At 40.3% G+C, this 14,111-nt stretch overlaps 1 protein-coding gene and 1 long non-coding RNA gene across 10 annotated transcripts in view; one reads left to right on the top strand and one right to left on the bottom strand.

Annotated features, from left to right (window-relative positions):
- Positions 1-14,111, bottom strand: part of CERS3-AS1 (CERS3 antisense RNA 1) — a 64,976-nt gene that overhangs the window by 16,736 nt on the left and 34,129 nt on the right. The window contains exon 3 of the long non-coding RNA NR_120374.1: positions 12,521-12,612. This is a non-coding gene — a long non-coding RNA (CERS3 antisense RNA 1). The remainder of the gene's footprint in view (positions 1-12,520; positions 12,613-14,111) is intronic.
- Positions 1-14,111, top strand: part of CERS3 (ceramide synthase 3) — a 144,289-nt gene that overhangs the window by 123,505 nt on the left and 6,673 nt on the right. The gene's annotated exons all lie outside the window — the stretch shown is intronic.

Below are 14,111 nucleotides of genomic sequence, written 5' to 3'. Positions count from 1 at the left end.
TCTAGATATACAATCATGTTGTCTGCAAACATGGTCAATTTGACTTCCTCTTTTCCTAATTGAATACCCTTTATTTCCTTCTCCTGCCTAATTGCCCTGGCCAGAACTTCCAACACTATGTTGAATAGGAGTGGTGAGAGAGGGCATCCCTGTCTTGTGCCAGTTTTCAAAGGGAATGCTTCCAGTTTTTGCCCATTCAGTATGATATTGGCTGTGGGTTTGTCATAGATAGCTCTTATTATTTTGAAATACGTCCCATCAATACCTAATTTATTGAGAGTTTTTAGCATGAAGGGTTGTTGAATTTTGTCAAAGGCTTTTTCTGCATCTATTGAGACAATCATGTGGTTTTTGTCTCTGGTTCTGTTTATATGCTGGATTACATTTATTGATTTGCGTATATTGAACCAGCCTTGCATCCCAGAGATGAAGCCCACTTGATCATGGTGGATAAGCTTTTTGATGTGCTGCTGGATTCGTTTTGCCAGTATTTTATTGAGGATTTTTGCATCAATGTTCATCAAGGATATTGGTCTAAAATTCTCTTTTTTTGTTGTGTCTCTGCCTGGCTTTGGTATTAGAATGATGCTGGCCTCATAAAATGAGTTAGGGAGGATTCCCTCTTTTTCTATTGATTGGAATAGTTTCAGAAGGAATGGTACCAGTTCCTCCTTGTACCTCTGGTAGAATTCAGCTGTGAATCCATCTGGTCCTGGACACTTTTTGGTTGGTAAGCTATTGATTATTGCCACAATTTCAGATCCTGTTATTGGTCTATTCAGAGATTCAACTTCTTCCTGGTTTAGTCTTGGGAGAGTGTTATGTGTCCAGGAATTTATCCATTTCTTCTAGACTTTCTAGTTTATTTGCGTAGAGGTGTTTGTAGTATTCTCTGATGGTAGTTTGTATTTCTGTGGGATCGGTGGTGATATCCCCTTTATCATTTTTTATTGCGTCTATTTGATTCTTCTCTCTTTTTTTCTTTATTAGTCTTGCTAGCGGTCTATCAATTTTGTTGATCCTTTCAAAAAACCAGCTCCTGGATTCATTAATTTTTTGAAGGGTTTTTGTGTCTCTATTTCCTTCAGTTCTGCTCTGATTTTAGTTATTTCTTGCCTTCTGCTAGCTTTTGAATGTGTTTGCTCTTGCTTTTCTAGTTCTTTTAATTGTGATGTTAGGGTGTCAATTTTGGATCTTTCCTGCTTTCTCTTGTGGGCATTTAGTGCTATAAATTTCCCTCTACACATGCTTTGAATGCGTCCCAGAGATTCTGGTATGTTGTGTCTTTGTTCTCGTTGGTTTCAAAGAACATCTTTATTTCTGCCTTCATTTCGTTATGTACCCAGTAGTCATTCAGGAGCAGGTTGTTCAGTTTCCATGTAGTTGAGTGGTTTGGAGTGAGATTCTTAATCCTGAGTTCTAGTTTGATTGCACTGTGGTCTGAGAGATAGTTTGTTATAATTTCTATTCTTTTACATTTGCTGAGGAGAGCTTTACTTCCCAGTATGTGCTCAATTTTGGAATAGGTGTGGTGTGGTGCTGAAAAAAATGTATATTCTGTTGATTTGGGGTGGAGAGTTCTGTAGATGTCTATTAGGTCTGCTTGGTGCAGAGCTGAGTTCAATTCCTGGGTATCCTTGTTGACTTTCTGTCTCGTTGATCTGTCTAATGTTGACAGTGGGGTATTAAAGTCTCCCATTATTAATGTGTGGGAGTCTAAGTCTCTTTGTAGGTCACTCAGGACTTGCTTTATGAATCTGGGTGCTCCTGTATTGGGTGCATATATATTTAGGATAGTTAGCTCTTCTTGTTGAATTGATCCCTTTACCATTATGTAATGGCCTTCTTTGTCTCTTTTGATCTTTGTTGGTTTAAAGTCTGTTTTATCAGAGACTAGGATTGCAACCCCTGCCTTTTTTTGTTTTCCATTGGCTTGGTAGATCTTCCTCCATCCTTTTATTTTGAGCCTATGTGTGTCTCTGCACGTGAGATGGGTTTCCTGAATATAGCACACTGATGGGTCTTGACTCTTTATCCAATTTGCCAGTCTGTGTCTTTTAATTGGAGCATTTAGTCCATTTACATTTAAAGTTAGTATTGTTATGTGTGAATTTGATCCTGTCATTATGATGTTAGCTGGTGATTTTGCTCGTTAGTTGATGCAGTTTCTTCCTAGTCTCGATGGTCTTTACAATTTGGCACGATTTTGCAGTGGCTGGTACTGGTTGTTCCTTTCCATGTTTAGTGCTTCCTTCAGGAGCTCTTGTAAGGCAGGCCTGGTGGTGACAAAATCTCTCAGCATTTGCTTGTCTGTATAGTATTTTATTTCTCCTTCACTTATGAAGCTTAGTTTGGCTGGATATGAAATTCTGGGTTGAAAATTCTTTTCTTTAAGAATGTTGAATATTGGCCCCCACTCTCTTCTGGCTTGTAGGGTTTCTGCCGAGAGATCTGCTGTTAGTCTGATGGGCTTCCCTTTGAGGGTAACCCGACCTTTCTCTCTGGCTGCCCTTAACATTTTTTCCTTGATTTCAACTTTGGTGAATCTGACAGTTATGTGTCTTGGAGTTGCTCTTCTCGAGGAGTATCTTTGTGGCGTTCTCTGTATTTCCTGAATCTGAACGTTGGCCTGCCTTGCTAGATTGGGGAAGTTCTCCTGGATAATATCCTGCAGAGTGTTTTCCAACTTGGTTCCATTTTCCCCATCACTTTCAGGTACACCAATCAGACGTAGATTTGGTCTTTTCACATAGTCCCATATTTCTTGGAGGCTTTGCTCATTTCTTTTTATTCTTTTTTCTCTAAACTTCCCTTCTCGCTTCATTTCATTCATTTCATCTTCCATCCCTGATACCCTTTCTTCCAGTTGATCGCATCGGCTTCTGAGGCTTCTGCATTCTTCACGTAGTTCTCGGGCCTTGGTTTTCAGCTCCATCAGCTCCTTTAAGCCCTTCTCTGTATTGGTTATTCTAGTTACACATTCTTCTAAATTTTTTTCAAAGTTTTCAACTTCTTTGCCTTTGGTTTGAATGTCCTCCCGTAGCTCAGAGTAATTTGATCGTCTGAAGCCTTCTTCTCTCAGCTCGTCAAAGTCATTCTCCATCCAGCTTTGTTCCGTTGCTGGTGAGGAACTGCATTCCTTTGGAGGAGGAGAGGTGCTCTGCGTTTTAGAGTTTCCAGTTTTTGTGTTCTGTTTTTTCCCCATCTTTGTGGTTTTATCTACTTTTGGTCTTTGATGATGGTGATGTACAGATGGGTTTTCGGTGTGGATGTCCTTTCTGTTTGTTAGTTTTCCTTCTAACAGAGAGGACCCTCAGCTGCAGGTCTGTTGGAATACCCTGCTGTGTGAGGTGTCAGTGTGCCCTTGCTGGGGGGTGCCTCTCAGTTAGGCTGCCCAGGGGTCAGGGGTCAGGGACCTACTTGAGGAGGCAGTCTGCCCGTTCTCAGATCTCCAGCTGCGTGCTGGGAGAACCACTGCTCTCTTCAAAGCTGTCAGACAGGGACATTTAAGTCTGCAGAGGTTACTGCTGTCTTTTTGTTTGGCTGTGCCCTGCCCCCAGAGGTGGAGCCTACAGAGGCAGGCAGGCCTCCTTGAGCTGTGGTGGGCTCCACCCAGTTCGAGCTTCCAGGCTGCTTTATTTACCTAAGCAAGCCTGGGCAATGGCGGGCGCCCCTCCCCCAGCCTCGCTGCTGCCTTGCAGTTTGATCTCAGACTGCTGTGCTAGCAATCAGCGAGACTCCGTGGGGTAGGACCCTCAGAGCCAGGTGTGGGATATAATCTCGTGGTGCGCCATTTTTTAAGCCCGTCGGAAAAGCGCAGTATTAGGGTGGGAGTGACCCGATTTTCCAGGTGCGTCCGTCACCCCTTTCTTTGACTCGGAAAGGGAACTCCCCGACCCCTTGCTCTTCCCAAGTGAGGCAATGCCTCGCCCTGCTTCGGCTCACGCACGGTGCACGCACCCACTGACCTGCGCCCACTGTCTGGCACTCCCTAGTGAGATGAACCTGGTACCTCAGATGGAAATGCAGAAATCACCCATCTTCTGCGTCGCTCACGCTGGGAGCTGTAGACCAGAGCTGTTCCTATTCGGACATCTTGGCTCCTCCACTATTTTCTTTTTATTCATAGCCGTTCTGACTGGTGTGAAATGGTATCTCTTGGCAGTTTTGATTTGCATTTCTGTAATTATTAGTGATTTTGAATATTTTTTCATATGCTTGTTGGCTGCATGTACGTTTTCTTTTGAGAAATATCTGTTCTTGTCTTTTGCCCGTTTTTTAATGTGGTTGGTTGTTTTTTGCTTGTTGATTTGTAGAATCCTTATAGATTTTGGATATTAGACCCTTTTCAGATTCATCCTGGCTCTGTGTCTTCACTCAAATCTCATCTCAAATTGTAATGCCCGTAATCCCCACATGTTGAGGGAGGGACCAGTTGGGAAGTGATTGGACCATGGGAGCAGTTTGCCCTATGCTGTTCTCGTGATAGTGAGTTCTCATGAGATCTGATGGTTTTATAAGGGGCTCTTCCTCCTTTATTGCTCACTCTTCTCTCTCCTGCTGCCATGTGAAGAAGGTCCTTGCTTCTCCTTATGCCACGATTGTAAGTTTCCTGAGGCCTCCCCAGCCATGTGGAACTATGAGTCAATTAAACTTCTTTCCTTTACAAATTACCCAGTCTTGGGTAGTATCGTTATAGCAGTGTGAAAACGGACTAATACACAGTTTGCAAATATTTACTCCCATTCTGTAGCTTGCCAGCTATCCCAGCACTGTTTACTGAATAGGGAGTCTGCTCCCCATCGCTTGTTTTTGTCAACTTTGTTGAAGGTCAGATGGTTGTGAGTGTGCCCCCTTATTTCTGGCTCTTTAATCTGTTCCATTGTTTCTGTGTCTGCTTTTGTACCAGTACCATTCTGTTTGGGTTCTGTAGCCTTACAGTGTAGTTTGAACTCAGGAAGTGTGATGCCTCTGGCTTTGTTCATTTTGCTTAGGATTACTTTGGCTATTTGGGGGCTCTTTTTTGGTTCTGTATGAATTTTATAATTTTTCTAATTCTGTGAAAAATTACATTGGTAGTTTGATAAGAATGGTATTGAATCTATAAGTTGCTTTGGGTAGTATGGCCATTTTAACAATATTGACTTTTCCTATCCATGAATATGGAACATTTTTCCATTTGTTTTTGTCATCTGTGATTTTTTTCCAGTGGTGTTTTTGTTTTACTTCAAGTTGCAGGATACAGATGCAGAACATGTAGGTTTGCTACATAGGTATATGTGTGTCATGGTGGTTTGCTGCACCTATCAACCCATTATCTCAGTTTTAAGCCCCACATACATTAGGTATTTGTCCGAATGCTCCCTCCCCTCCCTCACTCCCTGCCCCCCGACAGGCCCTGGTGTGTGTTTTTCACCTCCCTATGTCCGTGTGTTCTCATTGTTCAACTCTCACTTATGAGTGAGAACATGCAGTGTTTGGTTTTCTGTTCCTGTGTTAGTTTGCTGAGGATGATGGCTTCCAGCTTCATCCATTCCCTACAAAGGACATGGTCTCATTCCTTTTTATAACTGCATAGTATTCCATGGTGTATGTGTACTACATTTTCTTTATCTAATCTATCATTGATGGGCATTTGGGTGTTCCAACTCTTTGCTATTGTGAAGAGTGCTACAATAAACATACATGTGCATGTGTCTTTATAGTAGAATGATTTATATCTCTTTGGGTATATGCCCAGTAATGAGATTGGTGGGTCAAATGGTATTTCTGGTTCTAGTTCTTTGAGGAATTGCCACACTGTTTCCCACAATGGTTGAACTTGCATTCCCAATGCAAGTTTAATTTGCATTCCCAATAACAGTATAAAAGCATTCCTGTTTCTCCACAGCCTCACCAGGATTTATTGCTTCTTGACTTTTTAATAATCCCCATTCTGACTGGTGTGAGATGGTATCTCATTGTGATTTTGATTTGCAGTTCTCTAATGATCAGTGATGTTGAACTTTTTCTCATATGTTTGTTGGATGCATAAATGTCTTCTTTTGAGAAGTGTCTGTTCATATCCTTTACCCACTTTTTGTTTTTTTCTTGTAAATTTGTTTAAGTTCATTGTAGGTTCTGGATATTAGCCCTTTGCCAGATGGGTAGATTGCAAAAATTTTCTCCCATTCTGTAGGTTGCCTGTTAACTCTCGTTATAGTTTCTTTTGCTGTGCAGAAGCTCTTTAGTTTAATTAGATCCCATTTGTCAATTTTGGCTTTTGTTGCAATTGCTTTTGGTGTCTTAGTCATGAAGTCTGCCCATGCCTATGTCCTGAATGGTATTGCCCAGGTTTTCTTCCAGGGTTTTTTTTTTTTAATCATTTTGGGTTTTACATTTAAGGCTTCAATCCATCTTTAGTTAATTTTTGTATAAGGTGTAAAGAAGGGGTCCAGTTTCAGTAGTTTGCATATGGCTGGCCAGTTTTCCCAGCACCATTTATTAAATAGGGAATCCTTTCCCCACTGCTTGTTTTTGTCTGGTTTGTCAAAGATCAGATGGTTGTAGATGTGTGGTATTATTTCTGAGGTCTCTGTTCTGTTCTGTTGGTCTATATGCCTGTTTTGGTACCAGTACCGTGCTGTTTTGGTTTTTGTAGCCTTGTAGTATAACTTGAACTCAGGTAGCATGATTCCTCCAGCTTTGTTCTTTTTGCTTAGGATTGTCTTGGCTATATAGGCTCTTTTTTGGTTCCACATGAAATTTAAAGTAGATTTTTCTAATTCTGTGAAGAATGTCAATGGTAGTTTAATGGGAATAGCATTGAATCTGTAAATTACTTTGGGCAGTATGGCCATTTTCATGGTATTGATTCTTCCTGTCATGAACATGGAATGTTTTTCCATTTGTTTGTGTTTTCTCTTATTTCCTTGAGGAGTGGTTTGTAGTTCTCCTTGAAGAGGGCCTTCACATCCCTTGTTAGCTATATTCCTAGATATTTTATTCTCTTTGTAGCAATTGTGAATGACAGTTCATTCATGATTTGGCTCTCTGATTCTCTGGTGTTTCTGTCAGGTTTTGGTATCAGAATGATGCTGACATCATAGAATGAGTTTGGGAGAAGTCCCTCCTCCTTGATTTTTTGGAATAGTTTCAGTAGGATTGGTACCAGCTCTTCTTCATACATCTGGTAGAATTTGGCTGTGAATCCATCTGTTCCAGGTATTTTTCTGGTTGGCAGGTGTTTTATTACTATTACTATTTCAATTTCAGAATTTGCTGTTGGTCTATTTATGATTTCAGTTTCTTCCTGATTCAATTTTGGGAGGTTATATGTTTCCAGGAATGTGTCCATTTCTTCTAGGTTTTCTAGTTCATGTGCATAGAGGTGTTTATAATAGTCTGTAAGGGTTTTTTTTTTTTTCTTGTATTTCTGTGGGGTTGGTGGTTAGGTTAAATTTACTAGATGCTGCCAACCTATTTTTCTAACCAAATGTATGAGTGTTTCTTTTTCCCCACATGCTCACCAACTTTTTTTACAATATTATCAGACTATTCAATATTTACTAGGTTAATGCACATGAGATTTTATCTTATTATTTGAATTTGCATTTTACTGATTACTAAGATTGAGCATATAGTATAGTATAGTATAGTATAGTATAGTATAGTATAGTATAGTATAGTCGTCAGTTGTGTTGACTTTTTTGTAAATTGCCTGTTCATGTCCTTTGCCTGCTTTTCTATCACATTCGGTTTCTTCCTTCTTAATGGTGCATATGAGTTATTTGAGCTCTTTGTGTATCTTGAATATTAAGATTTGAAACAAACTTCATTTCAATTTTAATACAAATTTTGTGGGCTTAATCCTCTGTCTTGCTATGATTATTCCTTGAATGTTGCTTTACTTAAAATCCCAGAGAATTTTTATTTTCAAAATGTTTTTGCAGATCTTTGCCTGGTTAGAGTTGTGGGACTTTCAAGCTGTGAATGTAAAGCTGTTTTTAAAGGATGTAAAATATGGCAATTTGGAGAATATGTTAAACAACAGTTTTAATCCCCAATGCAAATTATGTTGATATAATCAAATCATTTTCTGCATCCATCACAATTTGTTGATCACCACACAGTCTGGCACATTTTTAATTTATTTTGGGTTATATGGATAGTATGAAAAAAATCTATGCATTTTTATCAAAAGTCACATGGTATAATCTGGGCTCTGCTGCCACTAAGCTGTATCACTCTACAGGGTGGGACTGAGCCCTGTAGCTTTCATCTCATCTGGAAAATGAATGTCAGACCAGATACTCTCCGGAGTCTGTCTAACATGAAAACTTAATTTTTCTCTTAAAAGCTAATTTTAAAAGCCACAGATTTTTACAAAATGAAATCATCTCTTAAGGAATTAGATCCATTGATAGTAGCAAGAAATAATTAGTGAAAAATAGAACATATTCTATTTTACACTGGTTAGTTGGGAGAGTATAAAAAGCAACTTTTGTGTCTGGCTCTGAAATTCAAGAAGAGGTATTCTGTATACGTGGAACAGCTACAAAAATTGGCTCTATTTTTCTTCTATAAATCAGGGAACCATGGCTAAACTGATCTTAAGGTCATGTTTTAAGCAACTTGGATTCAAACTTCACAGGACTTAAAAGACTTTAGGGCACCCCTTATAAATTTGAAAAAGAACAAAGCTGAAGTACTCAAACTTCCTGATTTCCAAACTTACTACAAATCTTCAGTAATCAAGACAGTGTGGTACCGGCATAAAGACAAACATAAAGACCATGGTATAGAATAGAGAAATAAACCCTCACATATGTATGGTCAAATAATTTTTGATAAGGGTGCCAAGACCATTCAATGGGGAGTCTTTTCGACAAATGGTGCTGGGAAAACTGAATATCCACATGCAAAAGAATGAAGTTGGACCCTTACCTAACACCATACACAAAAATTAACTTGAATTCAAGCAAAGACCTAAAACTATAGAAGAAAACATAGGGCAAATAATTTATTGGATATGACACTAAAGGCACAGACAATAAATGAAAAAATGGGCAAATTTGACTTCATGAAAATTTAAAACTTTGGGGCATCAAAAGACACCATCAACAGAGTTAAAGGTAACCCACAAAATGAGAGAAAATATTTGCAAATCATATATCTGATAAGGGATTCATAAACTGAATGTATTGAGAACTTCTGAAACTCAGCAGCAACAAAACTCCAAATGACCTGGGTTCAAAATTGGGCAAAGGACTTGAATAGACCTTTCTCTGAAGAAGATACATGAATGGCCAATAAGCACATGAAAAGATACTCATCATAACTAATCATTAGGGAAACGCAAATCAAAACTATAATGAGATACCACTCACAGCTATTAGGAGGGTTACTATTAAAAAAACCGAACATAACAAGTGTTGATGGAACTGCTGAATGGTACAGTCACTGTGGAAAACAGTATGGTAGTTCTACAAAAAGTTAAACATAGGCTTAACCACATGATCCAGCAATTCCACTTCTGGATATATATCTAAAAGAATTGAAAGCAGGGACACAGATATTGTCCTGTTTTCAATATCTGTGTTGATATTCGTAGCAGCATTATTCACAATCACTAAAATATAGAAGCAATCCAGCGACCATTGAGAGACAATTGGATAAACAATATGTGATATATGCACACCATGGAATATTATTCAGCCTTTAAAAGGAAGGAAATTTGGCCAGGCACGGTGGCTCACGTCTGTAATCCCAACACTTTGGGAGCCCGAGGCGGGTGGATCACCTGAGGTCAGGAGTTCAAGACCAGCCTGGCCAACATGGTGAAACCCCGTCTCTACTAAAAATACAAAAATTAGCCGGGCATGGTGGTGGGCACCTGTAACGCCAGCTACTTGGGAGGCTGAGGCAGGAGAATCACTTGTACCAGGGAGGCGAGGTTGCAGTGAGCCAAGATCGTGCCACTGCACTCCAGCCTGGGCAACGAGAATGAAACTGCATCTCAAAAGAAAAAAAACAGAAAACAAAACGAAGGAAATTTGGACACATGCTACAACATGAATGAAACTTGAGGACATTATGCAAAGTGAAATAAGCCAATTACAAGAAGACATATACTGTGTGATTCCACTTATATGAGGTACTTAGAATTGACAAAGTCATAGAGACAGAAAGTGGAATGGTGGTTGCCAGAGGCTGGGGAAAGGGGAGAAGTGGGGGAGTTATTGTTAATGGGTACAGAATTTCTGTTTCACAAGATGAAAAGAGCTATGGGAATGGATGGTGATGATTACACAGAATTATGAATGTATTTAATCCCACTGAACACACTTAAAGATGGTTAACATAGTAAATCTTATGTGCATTTTGCCACAGAAATTTAAAAAGGACTTTAGACAATGCTTTGACACTTCTAGACTGTGGGAAGTCAGGGCTGTTGTCTTGGTAATGGTATTCTGTGTCTAAAAAATTTGATACCAGACAAAGTTAATTACCATGTGATATGACAGGTTCAATCGGTTTTCCTGAGCCCCTCAAAAGAAAAGGAGAAGCAGAAGTTGGAAGTGCGTCTATCGCTTTAGGGACACTCCAGTGCTCTGAATGAGTGAGTCTTGGAATGTGAGGCAGTTCGTCTCTATGCCTCTGCTCCTAGAACACACCCTTCAAAGGAAAACTTTGACTTTGATCCAACTTTAATCAGGGGAAGGTCATTTTGGTCCTAATTTCAGGGTTTTCAGTTTCTCCTGGTGTGTTGTATGTTCTCAAACTAAACGAGGTCTCCCTTTGTAGTGACTGTGATTTCAACCACAGCCACTGAATGCAGGCCTCCTGTGCCTGCTGGAGTGCCAAGCTGATAATATTTGTCAGTACTGGTCCTGTTGAGTGATGTGAGGGTTCCATAGCCCCTGTTAGGACAAGTAACGGGTCACTATTAAGCTAGGAACTTGTCTCTCATTCTTTTCACTGTCGTTTTGTGTAACCAAAGGGAGTCGTTGGGGGCAGAGACTTCTAAAAGACCTCGCAAAAATCATGACCATCCCCTTCCAACGTGGAGTGAATAATATTGCTAATAACATTCTAGACCACCCAGGTTGTTTTTGGAGAAAGTTCAGTGGAATACTAGGTACCTTTGCTAGGTTATCAGAAGAGCAATATGCTCTGTAATGGCGGCTACTGTAGGAAAACCTTCCCAAGGGGGAGTCACTCTGGCAGATGACAGGCGTGTGTGCCACAGTATGCTCCGGCCAGGGCAAGAACTGCGCACAAAATCATTACAGTCCTGTGGCTGCTGACACCCAGGTCCACCCCTCCACTCTTCAAAGAGGGTTTTGGATCCTTCTTGAAGCGTGTGTTTTCTTGACCCTTTAATGATTTGTAAAGGGGTCAGGGCCAACAATTTGCCTAAGAAAAGTTCCAATAGCCCAGTAACAAAACCTACAGGGTGTTGGTGTGTGGAGAGCAAATGGGAAGGGCAACACAATAAGAGGCCAGTAGATTCAAAGAAACGGACTCACGCTGATTTTGCGAGCAAAGTCTTGGCACTCAGTCAAAGCAGACAGGTAGAGTTTCAGAAAATACCAAGGCTCGACCTCTAGTGAGTACGTAGATGCCTTGTTCCCCCTAGAGCATACTTGATTTTGTTTCTAATTTCTATGAAGTGTTTTAATTACTGGAAAAAATCTGCAGTTGCGATATGGTTTTTCTCAGAATATGGGTGGTGGGCTGCACTTTTTTTAAGCTCTTTTGATTTCAGCTGATTAGAAAAACCTCATTTTTCTAGCATACCTTAGCCAGTGTTTTTCAAACTGTGAGTTGCAAATCATGAATAGGTTGCCAAATCCATCTCATAGATCTAGACCATCATTTTAAAAATGAAATAGAATGTAGAACATGTCCGTGTTTGTCTCACCTAGGAAACAATCATTTATTAGGATTAATTTTTATTATTTCAAATTTATACCTAAAGGCCAGAACTGATGGCACCTGAGGCAAGGTCAGAATAGGGATGGAAGATGTAGCGAGACGGGGCACTTGGCTCAGAAGGAGGGGAGAAGGCACTTTCTTATACGAAGAGCCAACCTCATATAGACCTGGGTTGCCAGTCTCCTGGGTGTCCTGCCTCATCAAGTATTTGTGCAGCCTACTCCAGCAAGGGTCTGTAGAGCATTGCTGTTCAAGGTGTGTAAGCTTAGAGTCTGGCTTTTCATCCTGTGTACCTTTCATAGCTGTGTGGTGTTGTGAAAGTTACTTAACCCCCCTGAGCCTCAGTTTCCTCTCTTTTAAAATAAAGAGAATAGCTGCTATGTCTTGTGGCTGTGAGGAGGAAATGTTGTTGATGTAACTGTTTAGTCCCGAGCCTGCCACATGGTAAGCCTTTTAAATGTCATTGCTATTACTGTTATATGAAAGATGGACTGTACAAGGTAAAATTGAATATAAAGAGAGATTTATTGATTTCCAATTTATATCATTCAAGCTTGCATGACACGCACCCATCCTATTCATCCATCTAATAAACTCTTACCGCAGGGAAATCCAGAGGGATCCCTTCTGAGCTTGATTCATCATCTAAGGTAGTAGTTGTCAATCCTATCGGAGCCACACTCCTTCACTGGCCTGAAATTAAATTCCTAGGTTATATAATTTACTTATAAGTATAATTTCAAAAAACAACATAATTCCACAACTGTTTTTAAAATTCTGATAAAATATGCATTTCATGTGTGAAATGTGTGCATAACTGTGCTAGAAAATGTCATGAAGTTGGCCAGTGCTGTGCTTGCATGTAGAGCCACCAAGAATGGAGGCTACAAGTGCAGACTGATACAGCTGTATTAAACTGGTAACTCAAATGTCATCAGTAGCATTGCTGTCAGTGACATGGTTTCCTGGAATTATGAGTTTCCAAACGAAGAAAAGTACATATTTCCCTCGGTATCCATGGGGGATTGGTTCCAGGACTACCCACACATACCAAAATCTGAGGATGCTCAAGTGCCTCATATAAAATTGGCCGAGTGTGGTGGCTTACACCTGTAATCCCAGCACTTTGGGAGGCCAGGGTGGGTGGATCACTTGAGGTCAGGAGTTCAAGACCAGCCTGGCCAACATAGTGAAACCCCATCTCTACTAAAAATATAAACATTAGCCAGGCACAGTGGTGGCCGCCTGTAATCCCAGCTACTCAGGGGGCTGAGGCAGGAGAATCACTTGAACCTTGGAGGCAGAGGTTGCAGGGAGCCAAGATTGCACCATTGCACTCCAGCCTGGGCAACAAGAACAAAACTCCGTCTCAAAATAAATAAATAATTTTTAAAAATAAATAAATAAATAAAATGGTGTTGCATTTGCATGTAACCTACACACTGCCTCCTATATACTTTAAATTATCTCTAGATTACTTACAATACCTAATACCATGTAGATGCTGTGTAAATAGTTGTTGTACTACATTTTTTAGGGAATGACAAGAATCTATAAATGTCCAGTACTGATACAACCATTCTTTTTTTTTCCTGAATATTTTTGACAAATGTGGAACCCACAGATATGGAGGGCAAACTGTATAGTCTTACTTTGACTTATATACGCAGTTGCAATCCTGGAAAATTCAGAATATATTAAAACCATGCAAAAAATTATTGTGCTTGAATGCACAAAGGAGTCAGATTCTAGGCTTGGATAGTTACAGACAGGGTTTTCACCTATGTGCATGCCTGACGGGACATGTGAATGTCAGCACATTGCAGGACTGCCAGCATCCCTAGCCTTTGCTCCCTAAACATCAGTAGTATTCTCTAACCTTTGTGACTGCCAAGATGCTATAAAGTTCCAACAGGCCCTATACAGTTGGGATCTCTTGTTAAAGGCAAACAGCTGGAGGGTGTGTGGTTGGGAGCAGATGGGGTGGCGCCCTCAAGGACTGGTTTCTTTCTTAGCTAACACAGCTCTTTAAGTCTTGCAGAGATGGGTGGGTAGATGCTGGTATGCCTTTCTGGAGAGAAATTAGGTTCTTTGTTCTGATTTGAGTTTCCCCTCTGATATGGTTTGGCTGTGTCCCCACCCAAAACTCATCTTGAATTGTAACTCCCACAATTCCCATGTATCATGGGAGG

Source organism: Homo sapiens, chromosome 15 (genome assembly GCF_000001405.40).
Source record: "Homo sapiens chromosome 15, GRCh38.p14 Primary Assembly".
Taxonomy (NCBI): Eukaryota; Metazoa; Chordata; class Mammalia; order Primates; family Hominidae; genus Homo; species Homo sapiens.
The sequence above is the reverse complement of the archived record's forward strand: the minus strand, read 5'-3'. Positions and strand labels throughout refer to the sequence as shown.